We start from the raw sequence: 18424 nt of genomic DNA on the forward strand, positions 1-18424 counted from the left end.
CTTCTTTGGGCTTCAGTTTCTTGACCAGTAAGTTGAAAACAAATCAAATGTACAGTGTTGTCAAAATAGATATTATGTCAAATATGAATCGGTATTATGATGCAGATGATCTGATAAAGAAGGACCTAGGAAAAGATGGATTTATGTCACATACACAAAGAATAGAAGAAATACAGGTATAGTCTTGGAGCACATTAAAGCCAGGACACTAGGCAACAGAATAACATGAAAGACATGGGGAGATAGTGTCACTAGTTACAGCAGCAGAGCAAAAGTTCTCCAGATGTTTCCTCACAAACCTACTCTTGAGTCACACTGGGCAGAATTAAGTCACGTGGTCATCCTTCCCTGGAAAGGAACTTCCAGGGAAATGGGTGTTCTCATTTTTTCAGCCCTATGAGAGATGACTTGGAATGGCTGTTGGGTAGCCAATCAGAAGAGTCTTGCACAATTATACAGGAGACATGTAATGTAAAAATTCTCCTAAAATTTATTTTTCCTTCTTTTTTTGTTTTCCCCTTAGTTGAGGATATACTTATCCTAAAATGTTGGTTGTTATTAAGGCCTAAACAAATGCAAAAGAGAATTCCTGATCTACTTCAGTGCTTTCAAATATTGTTAAGCTTCAGCATATTTTGTTTTGCTTAAATATTGCAATGAAGCCCAACATGTAAAATGAAAAAAGAACAGAGCCTCTCTAGAAGAAGGTTTGGGGGCCCCAGAGCCCTGGCCTATTTATTCTATTAATATTTGGCCTCCTGCTGTCTAACATTACCCCTCTCCCTGCAGTCACTGAATGTGCTCCAACCCTACCTAGAATACAGTCCTTATGATAGTCCACATTCATTCAGCTTCCACATGTACCAGGCATTGTGCTAGACACTGGAATCAACTTAAAAGGTAGATAAGGCCTCAGCCTTTATAGGGCTTATTTCCCAGGATAAGAGATAGACATATAGATGCTGGGGGAAGGGAGGATAATAAGTAAAATGAAAGTTGAATTTTAAAATGTCCAAGACAGATAATTTCTGTAGGAAAAAGAACTAAGGAGTACAGATAAAGCATAACTGGAAGGCTGCTGGCTTGGACACAGTGATCACAGAAGGGCCTTCTAAGGCAGAGACTTGGAGAAGAAGGACCTAGGCCTGTGAAGAGTAAGGGAGAGGGAGGTCTTATCGGAAAGAACTGCAAGTTCAAATACTAGGAAGCAAGGGCTACTAGATGTGTTTGAGAGCAAGTGCTAGGGCCTATAAAGCCTTGAAAACCATAGGCAGAGACTGGGACTTTATTCGAGATGTCATAGAAAGCCTCAGAAGATAATTTTGAAGGGAAGCATAAGACATGATCTAATTTACATTTAAAGAAGATCATAGAAATATTTAAAAAAGGAAAAACCTATGATTAATATTTCAGCAAAATGTGTTTTTTGGAATTTATAAATATTATGCCACATCGTTATAGTTGAAAAACATCTTTAAAGTCAAAAATACCATATTTTTTGAATACTTAAACATTATGCTGAAAATGACATAATGTAGCCCTAGCTATAAACTTCATCTTGGCTCTGTTTTTCCTTCCTCTGCTATTTACTTTGAATAGCAACTTTTCTCTCTTACTGAAAAACTGGGATCAAGCCTGAAACCCCTTTGTCTCTGCAGCAAGTGTATCAGAGTTTATTTTCAACTAAGCTGGCTTCTTGCTAAAGGCATTTTGTTCTAGCTACAAAGAAAAGATTTCTTCCAAGTATTACCCTTTGATTAGATTTGAACTAAAAATGAATTATATTCATTTATAGTCTTATACTGGGGAAACCTAGATGGCCTATCTCTTCTAAGATCACTGAATCCACTGAATCTCTCTCCCCTCCCACAGCTGTCTTTCTCTGTCTTTCTCTCACTCTGTCTTTATCTATCTATCTATCTATCATCTATCTGTCATTCTGTCTATCATCTATCTATCTCTATCCCTCTCTCTCAATCGCTCTTGTGTTCTGTTTATGTAATAGAGTGATAGGTAGATAACAGAGGCTGTCAATAAAATGGCCTATAGAAAAAAATTGTCTCTCTATTTCACAGAAAAACTAATTATTTTTTGATTTCTTGAAGAAATAGCTGTTGAGGATCCAAACGTGCATCTGCAAAGCTGAACTAAGGCCACTAATTCATCAGAGCAGCTTACAGATTCACCAGTCAATTCTAACAATTTATATTTTTATTCTTTTTCCTATGTTTAGTAATTGTTCTATATAAGTTTAATACAGAAAAGGGACATGAATTTTTTTCAAATTGAAGTATTGCAGAAGAAAAGTGTTTTTCACAATGATATAAGTATCTTGTATTGGGTAGTTTTATGTGTATAAGCATCTTCAGATATTAGAAAGGATAATTTGATGATAACTTATTCTGAAGAGATTTTCATCAAACTACTTTGTAAGAAATGCAGAGGCATTTTTGATTGTTGAATCTGTAGACAGGTGCGTAAAATCCTTATCGTTGTAACAGCAGCCCTGCTGACCAGATTGGCTGTTATTCTTAAAAGATGAGGGAAGCACTTACAGCATCGTAAGCCTAATAAGGTGGGTGTTGTGAATCAATTTGTACTGTCCTTGACTTTCTGCTTATATTAGAATTCTAAAAGATCATTAGCCACCTCTGGGATATGTTTGATTAATGGGTTTGGTTAAACAAAAAAGGTGAGGTCAACCGTGAGCAGAAAGTTTAAAAAAAATGTATTCCAGAAGAAACGTGTGCTTCCCAAATTGCAAATGAGAAGTTCATTCCTTAGGCATGTTCTAATCAATGAAACCATGTGTTCTACTAAGTTGACCTCAAAGGAGACTTTTAGCCACCCTGCTTATTTGCCTTTCAGTTACAGGAACGTGACTTCTGAGGCTAGGGTATTAGCACACCTGCTGAAACGGTGTTAATCTAGGTAATACAAAGTCCCCAAACACATGCTGTTAATAAGGCAGGTAGTTTAAAAAAAAAAAAAAAGACTAGTCTAATATCTCACAGTGAGAAAAAATTCTTCTCTGTCATTAGAGAGGGTGAAACATGCTCCTGTTCTTTTGACATTATATACCTCTTATTGTTTTTCCTTTTTATTAAAAATGAATCTCTTCTGCTGTTTTCAGCAGTGCATTTTTACTTCTGTATTATAATAGCTCTCCTCTCAATGATTCCATGAAGACAGGCTGGGATAATACACCAAGGAAAAGATTTTGCTTTACTTGCCAAAATGAGACCATACTTTGTTTTTTCCTTAACCATTGCCCCCTTACTCCCTGGAGTTTATCACCCCACACAAATTAAGCTAATTTTATAAACTGAAAATGCTCTTTCTATTAAGTTCTCCTCAAAGTGAAAGCAATGAGCTTCATTCTGTTTATTACACTGCTCTTCACAATTAGTTTTATGATGTATGGCAAGAATGTGTATACTATAAATCGAGTCTATAACTCTTACATATCTAGTGATAGTTATGAATCCATTGAGTAGAACTGAAAATACAGTATATAACAACTCAGTTTAATTTATAATCTAAATTGCAAAGCTATTTAGCCCCTTACATTCAAATTCATTTTTGCAGACCTTTTAATTAGATACAGTGATCTAAAATAATCTGGTCCCCAAAGGTAAGACAATCAATTTAGTAAGATCAGACAATTTCTGATGCTTTAATACAACCACACAATACCACCAGCTAACACCTGACTCTCTTGCTTTTATTTCTTTTCTTTAAGTAAATGAAGTATTAAAATGTTGTGATAATGCGAAAAGAGTTAATACATCAGAAACAGCTAAAAACATGAAATGCCTAAGTTTTTGGCTGAATATGGGTCAAACTTTAAATGTGAAAAGAGCTCTCTGCTACCATCCTCTGCCTGTAACTGATAACATATATTTCTGTCCCTTCATAAAGATCTGGAAACATGGCAAAGCCCCCATAAGAGAGAGCACAATGGATCTCATTTGAAAAGTTAACATTTCAAAAATGAGATCTACTGTGCTCCACAGGCAGTTGAGAGAATGTTCTTTATTTAACCTCAATGCTCAATCGTCTATTGTAACCAAATAGCAGTTGTTTGGTTTTTTGTTTTTTATAACACCCCTTTTTTTGTCTTATTTGGTCCTAACTGACTTCTTCAGAATGTTGCTGAACATCTGCAGAGGGAGACATTTCTATAACATATGTATTTATGTTTGTCTAATTGGTACACATTTGTTTCATGATACTTTGGTATGAGAAAAATAATTTTTTTAAAATCAAATTATATTCAACTCCACTCCCAAGCAGCAAAGTTGGCAGAAAATCCATACTCTTTTTTTTTTTTTTTTTGCAAAGTTTTTTTTTCCTGTTGTTCTTGGGATTATATTAGATCTAGAGAATCACAGTGTAGAAAGAGTGGGAAAAGAAGGCTTGGTCTATTTGTTCTTGCCAGAACCTGAGTGTTCTATTTGCAGGTAAGCAGCTCTGAAATTATGACATCCATGTGCTCCAAGCCAAACATGATCTCCAAGGAAGCTTCTGTGAACAACCCAGGCTAAGGGTCTTGGGATCCAGTTCTCCTGAAAACCAGGCACCACGTCCCTCAGTGGGCTGAATCTTCATGAGTTTCTTTTCATGAAGAAAAACACAGGTCTCCACCTTTCAAGGAACCCACACACCCTGCCATAAAATCACTTTTACCTCAAGAAGAGCTATTCCCCTTTCCAAGAGTCTAGAATTTCAGTGGAGGGACCTCTTACCTTTATTCCCAGATAAAAAGTAATCTGGGTTTCCAGGTCTCAAAGCTCTTGGTTTTTTAGCAGAGGAGAAGGTAAAATGTTTCGCATTTTTTTTTTGTATGGTAATCCTACAGCCAAAAATAGACACATTTTCTGGACGGCTTCTCCTGCATAAGTAGGTAGAAAGATAAGTAGTGTGTTTGTTTGTGTGTGTGCGTAATTATAAGGCATTTTGGGTGTAGGATATATATAGCTGTACATTCTGTCCTTGATGAAAAGACAGAAAAATATGGTGCATATTTTTAAAAATGAGAAGTTCTTTTGTAATAACAGCATCTCAGGAATGAGATAAACTAGCTATTGAGGATACTATCATGTGAGCTTTAAAGTCAGGCTGACTGCCTTATTATTTACCCTTAATTTCCTTTAGACCCTATCTTGGGACCCAGAATATGAAAGACACTCAAAAAAAAAAAAAAAGAAGAAAAGAAAATGCATGTTAACTTTATTTATTTATTTATTTATTTTATGTGTTTTTATTTTATTTTATTTTTTTGAGACCGATTCTCGCTCTGTCGCCCAGGCTGGAGAGTAGTGGCACGATCTCAGCTCACTGCAAGCTCCACCTCCTGGGTTCACGCCATTCTCCTGCCTCAGCCTCCCGAGTAGCTAGGACTACAGGCGCCCGCCACCACGCCCAGCTAATTTTTTTTTTTGTATTTTTAGTAGAGACGGGGTTCCACCGTGTTAGCCAGGATGGTCTCAATCTCCTGACCTCATGATCTACCCGCCTCGGCCTCCCTAAGTACTGGGATTACAGGCGTGAGCCACCGTGCCCAGCCTTAACTTTATTTAAATAAAACCTCCAAAGTGGGTGTAACCTTCAAAAGATAAATACAAAATACCAAATGGAGTGAATGATTTCATCTTTACATAACCACCCCTTTGCTGCTATTATAATGTGACAATGTACATTGCCTGAATCAGTTGCTCCAACATGCACCTCTAGGATAAATTATTAATTCCTCCATCTGGAACCCTGTCTTGCCTCTGTCCCTCCTTCTCCAAAAGATTCTCAAATATGGCATAAATGCACAAAGGAATGCAGTGGAAAATGCAAATTCTTTATTGTTATTTTATACCAAATTTCAATGTATTCTCTCAGTGAGTTAGGCAGCCTTTTTTCTGCTTTCCCTGTCACACTGGTGTAGTCGGCAAGAGTTACTAATATAAGGATATGGTGATTAGCCCTGGCAGCAAAAGGGCTTGGTTTTGGGCAGCTTGTGCCCCTGGACTGGTCATATGGAGCTGAAAGCAATCTCCTTCATTAACACTAAGTGCCCAGAAAATTGTGTCATTTTCTGCCATAATATGATAGGTAAAACATTGAGGATGCTGTTGGTAAAAGGCAATTCCACAGAAAACACTCCAAGAAACCAAGGCACAGAGTGCTTCCGTAAAAACATCATTATACTCCTCTCACTAATATTCTACTCCCTAGTAACACAGCCCAATGAATGCCCCAGACCCAACTCATCTGCTTTCTTTGGTAATAAATTTAGTAAAGAGAGAAATTCTTCTGCACTTTATCTATGGGACAATGAAAATCATGGGAAATGGACCTTCCCAAACACCTGGACATCACTTAACACAATCAGATATAAGAGTCTTAGAAATGTTATCACTTGCATCTATACATTCTATTGTTTTTTTAAAAAATTCTGTACCTAGAGATGATGTGTTTATTCTCTCTCATGATTTATTACTTAATAATAACAAAATCACTGTTTTTGTTTCTTTTTTTGAGAGGGAGTCTCACTTTGTTGCAAGGCTGGAGTGCAGTGGTGCAATCACGGTTCACTGCAATCTCTGCCTCCCGGGTTCAAGCAATTCTCTTGCCTTAGCCTCCCAAGTAGCTGCGATTAAGGGTGCGCACCATCACACCTGGCTAATTGTTGTATTTTTAATAAAGACGGGGTTTCACCATGTTGGCCAGGATGGTCTGGATCTCCTGACCTCATGATCCGCCTGCCTCGGCCTTCCAAGGTGCTGGGATTACAGGCATGAGCCACAGCACCCGACCAATCACTAATTTTTTTTAGTGGCCCAGTGTCTCCCTCTCTCTTCTTGGCTTAAATAAGAGGTCAGGAAAAGCAAGCCTGGGAGAAGAGTCTTTTTTTTATTTTTAATATTAGAGATCTGAAAAGGATTTTGAGGTAGACATAAATTGGGGCCAAATTATAACAGCATTTTTTTCCTTCAATAATCTGGTGGGAAGGAAAAGATTCCTACGCGCCCTTCATCCTCTAGCCTTGATGCCAGATCGACAGCCAATCACGTCTCTCCACTTCTGAATCATGTCTGAAAATATGCATGAGTGCACATGCAATACCATACTAGAAAACCTTTACTCTTCATCCTAGTCATTTATTTGCACAAATAAATGTCTTTTCATTCTGCCAATTCATTCACTCTTTCTCAGATAACAAAACGAGAGGTTTTTCCCCAACATTATGACTCTTGTGTTAATATTGATTCCCTCTCTCTTAGTCACTTTTTCAGAACAACAAACTAATTTTATGTTTTTGCAGTATGCCTTCATAGCTTCAGCAAGAATCACTGATTTGGAACTTTGTCATATGCTTTCAAACTATGTAAGATTCAGGTCTAAGTTGAATGCAACAGTACAGTATCTCAAAAACTTAACCTAGTTATTGAGGCATGACCTTTTTGAGGTTGCTTTGTGTTTTTTCTGTCAGCTTTGTTTTTTAAGTGTCTGGTTATTTGATCCCTGAATTGAAGTTTTGAGATTTAATGACTGTCAGATAACATAACAATATCCCGGAGTGTGTATATATACCTTGGATAAGAATAGCCACATGAGTTTCACCTTTCTTTTTATTCGTAAGTACTATGAAATGCATATGTCAGAAGAAATCTTTTCTTCAAAGGCCTATGTCATTGAAGCTGCAAAGAAACCTTTCTCCTGTGTATAGGCAATTATTATTACTTTCCAAGAGGCATATCTGAGCTGTAGTTGCAAACATGTCACATGCCTCTTCAAAGCTACCTTTCCTTTCATTATGACATGCACTATTTGGGACCTATTTTTTTTCCAACAGCACTGTCACAGTTTTCATGTTTTTAGTCTGCATTTACTAAAGAAAAGTTGCCAAGATGGTTCGAGCTTATGTAAACTTTGCTAAGAATAACTACATGATATAGTAATGTATGCACAACACAGAGGAGTTTAAAGAAAGGGAGAGGAAGGGAGAAATCTCCAATATAAAAAGGGTGTAGTCTGGTTTGTTATTTTTTACCGTGCAGAATTATTCATGAACGTGAATTGTGCTTGTTTCTGTTCTGTAGGTAAGAATTTATTTAAACAGGTCAAACTTGGAGGTCCCTATAGTACATTTTAAAAGGGTGAAGATTATAGTAAATGAATAACCATGTATAGCACTCATAGAAAAATTTTTAAATGTTTCTATTATTTCATTCTGTTTTGTTCCTGATTATAAATGTTATTGCTATAGTGCTTTATTTAGTAATCTAGAAATATCAATTGTTCTAACACAAAGCACAAATACACTCTTATATACAAACACCGTCTTGCAAGCACCGAAGACAGAATTATATCAATGACTTTATCCATCAAACAAAATTTAATATTACTTTAAAGGTTGTTACAGAAACTATAAGCATTCCTAAATTTTCCACCTAACTTTTCTTCATTTGTTACATAATGGCACCAAATTAAAGACTTCGAGTGTTGCAGAGAGGGTCTGTCCCATTTCTGCCTCTTTAATTGAGGATTCTTTACACAGAGAGTTCCCTGAGTTGTTAGCAAATTGAAGTTAGCTGCAAATATCCATGGATATTTCAAGGTATTTTCCACAGTCCTTATTCCCCTTATCTAAAGTCTTGATCCTCTACTTTGTGTTCCTGAACCAAACTCTGGTTCCATTTAGAGTTTTCATAACGCATTCCCTCTGTTTAGCCTTATGGCTGATACTGAAGAGATGCATCTTTGGGTGGAAAACTCTCTTTTTGTGACCTAGCATTAATAAGATGCCCTCTGTCAGGGGAAGCTCTTGTGAACTGAGAAGCTCGGCTTTCTTTTTATTGATTAAAGCTTGTAAGGAATAAAATATCATTATGAAGGCATAAATTAAGAAGACTTGGGATAGGAGAAATGCAGAATTTCATTTTGGTTTATTTCTGAAAAATAAGTGATCCTTCCACCTCAGCCTCCTAAGTAGCTAGCATGCCCAGCTAATTTTTAAATTTTTATTTTGTAAACATGGGATCTTGCTATGTTGCCCAGGCTGTTCTCAAACTCCTGGCCTCAAGCAATAATCCCATCTCAGCCTCCTAAAGCACTGGGATTACAGGCATAAGCCAATGTGCCCACCCTATTTTACCACTGTTTCTGGAGATAACAGTAGCCTCAATTTTCTGAGACTTTTAAAGATTCTGCAGGTTAGTTCTTGTCTTTCACAATTGCTAGTTGGGGAATTACTTTCCAGGGTCCCCTAATTCTGTTATCAACAATTAATCTACTTCCAACTTCCAATTTTTTGTCCTTTACAACCTCGTCAGTTTATGGCTAAAATATTATTTTGTTTATTCCTCTAAAAAGAGATTTTTCTGGTTTATTTGCTTTTGTTTGTAATACAGTTTTAAAGTATTTTTCTTAGAAGTATGTGAAACATGATATACTTTCTGATATTCTGGATATTCTAAACTAATTTTCATTTGCTCTGACAAATAACTTTAATCTGAGATTAATATAGGAATCCTAGGTTTTAGGTTTCTACTTCCTCACAATAGCCTTGATATGCAATTCCACTGTTGCATAAAGAAGTTCAATACTCTGCCGATATTATATATTCTTTGTAGCTAATGTTTTTTTCTTCCTAGAAGCTTATATTTCTCTTTAATCTTAGAATTTAAGAATAATACCAAGGTTTGCTTGGATGTGTGTCTTCTTACCAATCTAACGGCATTCATGGGACCGAGGTTTCTGTGTTATCCAGGGTCCCACTCCTCCATATGCTGCCCAACGTCAAGCTCTTCCTCGATTTGCCATCCCTGGTCCTCACACTAGGGTCATGGTCCTCCCTACCTATCAAACTCAATGGAAAGTTTTTTGTTTTAAAGATAAAATCTCATATGAAATTGGAGCAAGTAAAAACAAGAAAATAAGAAAAAGAAAGATAGTTATGAAAAATAGTCCAGTTTTCCCAACATCCTGTTAATAGGAACTCAAGAAACAGAAAATAGAGAGAAAAACAAATCATAAATAAAATAATTCAAGAGAATTTGTCACAACTAAAGTTTCCAACTCAAAAGATCTCATTTGATGCCCAACACAATGGATAAAAGTAGACCCACTCCAAGACACATAATCTTAACATTTTAGAAACAAGGAACAGAAAAAAATTATGTAAGATTTCATAGAAGAAAAACAATGGATCACATTAAAAAGACAAAGAGGTATTTTCAGATTTCTCAACAGCATTAGAAGCTAGAAAATTATTTACGCTAAAGAAAAATTATGTCCCACTTAAAATCTATATCAATTATCTGTCCAATGGAAAGGTGAAGACATTTTCAGACCTCCAAGTTCTCAGCAATTTCACCTTCCACAGACACTTTTCCAGAAATCTGCTAGATAATATGCTCCTCTGAAACTAGGAAGAAAAGAAAAAAGGAATGCATGAGAGGCTGATAGGAATAGGAGAACTCACTGAGAAAACAGTCCAAAGGAATCCCCAGGATGAGCATGAAAAGATGTGTCCAGAGGACTGTTGTGTGCCAGGTACAGTAGAAACCGACCTAGCCCAGGGTGATCCAGGTCTGAGGATCTAGAAGAGGTTTCTTTAATATTAATTTGATGATGAGGAGATGTGAATAATTGACAAAGCGTTTAAGGTTGAACAGTAAAATGTATCTAGAAAACTAAATGAACAAAAATTAAGTCCATACCAAAAAAATTTGTGTTTTTTAAGAGAGAAAATGTAATAATCCTAGTTCACTAAGAGATTTAAGTTAGAGCATGATAATGATGTAAACACTAAGGGCTCCAACTAAACCTAGGCTGCAACATAATTAAAAAGGATACAATAAGACAACAATAAGAAGTGTGGGTGGCAGTAGAGGAGAGGCAAGAAGGATAAAGGCTAAATCCTTATCCTTTATTGTCAAAAATCAATGCACGAAACTGAAAAACTAAGTAACAATGCAAGCAAGTTTTACTGAGCTATGAAGATAAATACCCGAAGAATCAACTAAAAAAGTTAAAAAGGAGTGCTTCAGGGAAAAAGAAACGTGAATGCTCTGAACTGATGTATTTCTTAACAAATCTTATAGAACTATGTGCTCTTTAAACTACAGATGTCGATTATGTGATCATATGTATATAATTTTAAATAAAAAATTAGAAGAAAGATGAAAGAAGAAAGTAAAGTAGAATGGAGGAAGAAAAGGAGGAAAAGATGGATAATGAGATAAGATAAAATAGAAACTATCCAAAAGCCAGAAGGACCATGTTTTTATTAAATAGGAATTTTAATATTAAAGGCATCAATCAGAACACCAAATTACATAAGGTACCTACTAAAAAGAACCAAGTTACAGTTGTGTTTTGTAATCTAGCCAATCAATATCCTTCCATTCAGCTCCTTTATTTCTTTTCTATGGAAAAACTCAACTAATTTTCCAGCTTTCTTGCAATAAATTTAATTCTTGGCTGACATTCTACCATGGCCAGAATGCAAGACACTATCTTCCAGTCTTGTCCATTCAGATAGCCTTTTTATTGTTCTAACATTGTGTGTGAACTAGGTTTTGGTCTGGAAGGCAATTTTTTCATTATTTCAGTTTGGGCCTTGGTCCATCTTAGGCCAGTTTTTCATTTTGTTAATTTTTGCTTTACCATTATGTCTCAAATTTTATTCATGAGATATTTTACACATCAATTATATTTTGCATGCATTTTACTTTAATTCATCCAGTATAAATTACTTCCATTTAGAATTAATCATGGAACCTATACAGTTTAGGATAATGTTTCCAAAATTTCTAAATTAACAGAAGCCTGTACTTGACAACTATATGGATCATCCAATATAATTTAAAATGTGATATCCATCTTAGGAATTTGCATATATCACTGTGTTGATCAGCACACTTTTTCTTACAAGAACATAAACTCTTCTAGCTTAAGCAAAAATTAATTTAAGTTCTTTTTTCTTTGGACCCAAAATTGAGTTGTATGATCAAATGCAGAACTTAACAGGAGTGCTTTTTTGTTGTTGTTTTTGTTTTTTGTTTGTTTGTTTGTTTTTGTTTTAAAGCTGCTTTATTTTTCTCTAGGATCTCATAATTTCTTATTTCCACCTCTCAGGTTACAATTGTGTGGTTTTTGGTTCTTGTTATTGGATAGATCCATCTTTCTCTGCTTTTCCAACCATCCACCTAGAAAAAAAAAATGCTCTCCTACAGTTTTTGAGCAACCAGCGTACAGGTAGTCTGAAGAGACTCATTACTTCTGCAAACCCCAATTTCAAGTTCCTAGAAGAGAGAATCTGAATCAGATTGAATCTGAAATCCATGGAGTCTAAACATTGACCTCTAAAGTTTATTACTGGCGTATGAAAAGGCATTTTTTACAGAGGGAAGACAAACATTGAGGAGACTAACAAGTATCTACTGCTCTGCAGTAAATAAATGCAATTAGATCATACAATGTGTTTTAGTACTTTCTAATTCATTATTGACAATGTTGGTCTGTATTCATCACCTTGTTTTCCTTGGTAGTTTTTTTTTTATTTTTTTGTTTTTTCTTACCAGGTCTTTTTTTTCTTTTATTTCAACTTTTATTTTATATTCAGTGAGTACATGTGCCAGTTTGTAACCTGGGTATATTGTCTGATGCTGAGGTTTTGGAGTACCACTGATCCTGTCACCCAGGTAGTGAGCATAGTATCCAGTAGTAAGTTTTTCAACCCTTTACGCCATCCTCTGTCCTCCAGTATTTCTCAACCAAAAAAAGAACTACTTTTGGTTTCGTTGATTCTTTGTATGGATTTCGGGGTCTCAATTTCTCTCAGTTCTTCTCTGTGAGTTTTTAGTATTGTGCAGTGCTCTATGAAATAAAGAAAAATATACTCACTACATGCTGCCTACATTATAGGGACATAAAAAAAACTTTCAAGCACCCTCATCACTCTATATATTTCTTATATTGTTTGACTCTTTTACTACCCTTGACCTCATTTCTCATTATCTACTGTTCCCATCTTTATGTCCGTACATACCCAATGTTTAACTCCCACTTATAAGTGAGAAAATGCAATATTTCCTGATTAATTTGCTTAGAATAATGCCCTTGAGCTGCATCCAGGTCGCTGCAGAGGACATGGTTTCATTATTTTTATGGCTGTGTAGTATTCCATGCTGTGTATGTACCACATTTTCTTTATCCAATCTGCCGTTGATTCTACGTGTCTTTGCTATTGTGAATAGCATCACGATGAACAAAAGACTACATGTGTCTTTTCAGTAGAATGATTTATTTTCTTTTGGATATATACCCAGTAATAAGATTGCTGGGTTAAATGGTAGTTCTATTTTAAGTTATTTGAGAAATCTCCAAACTGCTTTCCACAGTGGCTAAGCTAACTTACATTCCCACCAAATGTATAAGCGTTCCCTTGTCTCCTCAGCCTCACCAATGTCTGTTGTGTATTGACTTTTTAATAATAGCTATTCTGACTGGTGTGAGATAGTATCTCATTGTGGCTTCGATTTACAATTATCTTATGATTAGTGATGTTGAGTGTTTTTTCATATGTTTGTTGGTTGCTTGTATGTCTTCTTTTGAGAAGTATCTGTTCATGTCTTTTGACTACCTTTTAATGGGATTTTTTTTCTTGTTAAATTATTTAAGTTCCTTATAGATTCTAGACATTAGACCTTTGTTGGATGCATAGTTTGCAAATATTTTCTCCCACTCTGTAGGTTGTCTGTTTACTCTGTTGATAGTTTCTTTGGCTGTACAGAAGCCCTTTAGTTTAATTAGATCTCACTTGTCAATTTTAGTTTTTGTTGGAATTGCTCTTGAGGACTTAATCATAAATTATTTGCCAAGGTTGATGTCCAGAATGGTGTTTCCTAGGTTTTTGTCTAGCATCCTCATAGTCTGTGGTCTTATATTAAAATCTTTAATCGATCTTGAGTTCAATTTTATGTATGATGAAACGTAGGGGTCAGTTTCATTCTACTGCATATGGCTAGCCAGCTATCCCAGCAACATATATTGAATAGAAAGTCCTTTCCACTTGCTTATTTTTGTAGACTTAGTTGCAGATCAGATGGCTGCAGGTGTGGGGCTTCATTTCTGGGTTCTCTATCCTGTCTCATTGGTCTGTGTGTCTGTTTTTAACCATGCTGTTTTGGTTACTGTAGCCTTATAGTATACTTGGAAGTCTGGTAACATGATGTCTCATGGCTTGTTCTTTCTGTTTAGGATTGCTTTGGCTCTTCAGGTCTTTTTTTGGTGCCACATGAATTTTAGAATAGTTTTTTTCTAATTCTGTGAAAAATTGCATTAGTAGTTTGATAGGAATGGTGTTGAATATGTAGGTTGCTTTGGGCATTATGACCATTTTAACAATACTGATGAGTATGAAATGTTTTTCCATTTATTTGTGTCATCTCTGATTTCTTGCAGCAGTGTTTTGTAGTTCTCTTTGTAGACATCTTTCACCTTTTTGGTGAGCTGTATTCCTAGGTAATTTTTGTGTGACTATTGTAAATGGCATTGCATTCTTGATTTGGCCCTCAGCTTGAACATTATTGTTGCATAGAAATGGCACTAATTTTTATAAATTTATTTTGTATCTTGAAACTTTATTGAAATCATTTTTATCAGTTTCAGGAGCCTTTTGGCAGTATCATTAGAGCTTTCTAGATGTAGAATCATATTGTCAGTGAAGAGAGACAACTTGATTTCTTCTTTTCCTATTTAGATGCCTTATATTTATATCTCTTGCCTGATTGCTTTGGCTAGGACTTTCAATGCTATCTTGAATAGGAGTGGTGAGAGTGGGCATACTTGTCTTGTTCCAGTTCTCAAGGGGAATGATTCCAGCTTTTGTCCATTCAATATGATGTTGGCTGTGAGTTTGTCATAGATGACTCATTATTCTGAGGTACGTTTCTTCAATGCCTAGTTTGGTGAAGGTTTTTATCATGAAGGGATGTTGAATTTCATCAAAGGCTGTTTCTGCATTTATTCAGATGATCATATGGCTTTTGTTTTTAATTCTCTTTATGCAGTGATCACATTCATTGATTTGCATTTGTCGAACCAACCCAGCATCCCAGTAATCAAGCATTCTTGATCTTAGTGAATTAACTTTTTGATGCGCTGTGGATTCAACTTGCAAGTGTTTTGTTGAGGATTTTTGCATTTATGTTTATCGGGATGTTGGCCTGTGTTTTCATTTTTCATAGTATCTTTGCCAGGTTTTGGTATGAAAGTGATGCTGGCTTCATAGAATGAGTTGGGAAGAAATGCCTCTTCCTTGTTTTTTTTTTTTCGAATAGTTTCAGTGGAATTCGTATCAGCTCTTCTTTGTATGTCTGGTAGAATTCAGCTGTGAATCCATCTGGTCAGGAGCTTTTTGCGTTGGTAGGTTTTTTATTACTAATTTATTTATTCAATTTTGAAACTTGATACTGGTTTGCTTAGGGTTCCAGTTTCTTCCTGTTTCAATCTTGGGAGGTTGTGTGTTTCTGGGAGTTTATCCATTTTCCCTAGATTTTCTACTTCATGTGCATACAGGAGTTCTATAATAGTCTCTGAGAATTTTTTGTATTTCTGTAAGATTGGTTATAATGTTATCTTTGTCATTCCTGATTGTGCTTATTTGGATATTCTTTTTCTTTGTTAATCTAGCTAGCAGTATATTGATCTTGTTTATCCTTTCAAAAAAAAAACTACTTTTGGTTTTGGTGATTCTTTGTATGGATTTCGGGGTCTCAATTTCTCTCAGTTCTGCTCTGTGAGTTTTTAGTATTGTGCAGTGCTCTATGAAATAAAGAAAAATATACTCACTACATGCTGCTACATTATAGGAATATAAAAAAACTGTCATGCACCCTCATCACTCTATATATTTCTTATATTGTCTGACTCTTTTACTACCCTTGACCTCTTAATCACTTTCTTGTGACTACTTAGTTGGTTTATTATTATAATCAAATCAACATCAGTATTCTTTTATATGTACATTTTCCATTCACTTTTGCTGATAACATCTTGTCTGTTAGTGTTTATAGCAACTGCTTCAAATCTTTTTCGAAATGAGAAAGCATACAAGCATACATCTGAATGTAAATAAATCAGTCACAATCTCAAGTCCTACTGATGTCTCTTTTTTCAAAATATTTAACCTTGGATTAAATTTTTTATCAAGTATTTAAACTCTGCTGCAGGTAGGCTGGGCACGATGACTCATGCCTATAATCCCAGCACTTTGGGAGGCAGAGGTGGGTAGATCTCTTGAGCTCAGGCATTCAAGACCAGCCTATTCTCTTGGAAACATAATTACAAAAACTTCATTCCTTGCCCTGGCCGTTTCTTTAACCAAACTTCAGCTTCTTTGTGCCCATAGGTGCTGGCAAGCAGAGATGGTATATCTCTGAATATGCGTATTGTCAGTGTCTCTCTGTGAATGCCATTATTCAAGGGCTCACAATTGATATTGTTCTTTGTTGCAGATAGTGACTTCCAAAGTGAAGTTTTTGGAATGCTAGTGCTAGAAGACTTTCTTAAAAACAAAGATTTCATAGCAAAGTAAACTTTTTTATATTTTCCTAAGAAGAAAATGTAACCTTTCTTGGTAATTTTTGATGAATATTAAAAGATTTTCAAGATCCTTCATTTAAAAAAAAAAGTACCTACTTTGTAATCCACTTTTCTGTTGTTACTGAACTGGAGTGCACACGATAATTTTCCCCTGACCTCGTATATGCCACAAAGATTCTGATTTACACTCTGGGAGTCACAGCCTTCTTGATTTACCAAATCCTTATCTAAACACACAAAGACATCCACTCTTCCAAAAAATCACTTTTATGTACAGCAATGCTGTTAGTAAAGTTGTGTTTGTCTATCTGTGTCTTGTGTGTGCCTTTGTGTATGTCTCTGTGTGTGGTGTGTGTCTGTGTGTTTTCTTCTGTTTTAATTTGTGGTTCATCAAGAGGAACAAATTGTTCAGTACACGGAAGAAAATAACTCATTTACTTTTTTCCAAGAGTCAGATTTGAAGGATTTTTGAAGGTTCCTAAGATAATAAATTTATTATTTATGGACAAGCATTTTATATCATTAAAAAAGAACAAATTTTGTTAGTCTTATAATGCTTTAAAAATGCAGAATTTCTCATGTGAGAATCGGAATTGAATTTTGGTATGAGATTATGAAATTATTAATTATTAATACTCTTTTGGTGAAAAGGAATATTTAAATATATTTTGAGACTTTACCCTCTATGTGACAAGCAACTTTTATTACTTTTGCATTTAATTAAAATTTCTAATTACATTTTTATCTATGATAAAAAGTACAAAATTTAAAATTCAACAGTTACCACTATTAAATTTGAAGCATTTTCACATTACAGTTTCTGCTGCTTATACACCAACCATCAATGCTATTATGGATTATCACTTCAATTAAAAGATTGTTTATGATCCCCATAGGTATAGATAGAAATGAAGGCTGAGCAATGGGAATTCCAATGATGATGTAGAACATTCCATATTAAATAAAATCCTGTGCACCTGGGAAATCAAATTTTAGCTCAGTTGTATTTATTATGACACCCTAGGACTTGTGTTTTATGGATTCAAGATAAGAAAATCATTAAAAATCTGCTTGTCACATTAAGAGATCATTTAAAATTATTCCCTCAGGGATTATTATTAGCAATATATTGTAAGATCTTTTCCTTCCTTGACCATCTTATCTTTATGTAACACATGATTTCTGTAGTTAACTAGAGAATTCAGTGTTCAGGAAGATTATGATGCTGGGAAATCCTCCTGAGACAATTTTTTTCATCACTGAGATTTTCCCCCAAATAGGAAGTTGTTTTTCTTTTTTCAATCTGCAAATATCCTCACTTTTTCTCAAGCCACTTTCATTACTGTCAGTCTTCTGCAGGTTTTCACCACACCTAAAAAGAGAAAACATAACCATTACAAACCTAAAAAGACTCAATAAACCAAAGTAAAAAGTAAAACCTTGAGACCTGAGGTCAAAGAATCAAACCCAAGTAAGACTGGAGTTTTCCAGTGAAATACTTGGAAATCTAAAATTCAAAACCAAGGTCATGGTGTGGAAGGACATTAATATACATTTTATCTTTTTATAACAAATCATCTCTAGGGAAATTTTCCTACTAGAAATCGTAATTATCTCCATCAGTCGCTCCAGGGCAGTATCGGCAAGCTGATAATGCACCTGCATCTCTACCAATCACATTGCCACAGAAACTGGAGGGGAAAAATCTGCTGCTCAAGAGTTCTATCTCTGAGCCTGTGAAATAGCCATTATCTCCATGGCAATCTGTATTTAAGACAGCCATCCAATCCTCATCTTTTCTTTTTTACAGTTTACT

The 18424-nt window shown here is 35.3% G+C and overlaps 1 protein-coding gene and 1 long non-coding RNA gene across 5 annotated transcripts in view; one reads left to right on the plus strand and one right to left on the minus strand.

The window, feature by feature from the left end:
• The window catches only part of GALNTL6 (polypeptide N-acetylgalactosaminyltransferase like 6), a 1228156-nt gene that overhangs the window by 798808 nt on the left and 410924 nt on the right, over window positions 1–18424 (plus strand). The window lies entirely within an intron of this gene.
• The window catches only part of GALNTL6-AS1 (GALNTL6 antisense RNA 1), a 96947-nt gene continuing 96243 nt past the window's right edge, over window positions 17721–18424 (minus strand). The window contains exon 5 of the long non-coding RNA NR_125895.1: window positions 17721–17980. This is a non-coding gene — a long non-coding RNA (GALNTL6 antisense RNA 1). The remainder of the gene's footprint in view (window positions 17981–18424) is intronic.

The sequence above is a fragment of the Homo sapiens genome, chromosome 4 (genome assembly GCF_000001405.40).
Source record: "Homo sapiens chromosome 4, GRCh38.p14 Primary Assembly".
NCBI lineage: Eukaryota > Metazoa > Chordata > Mammalia > Primates > Hominidae > Homo > Homo sapiens.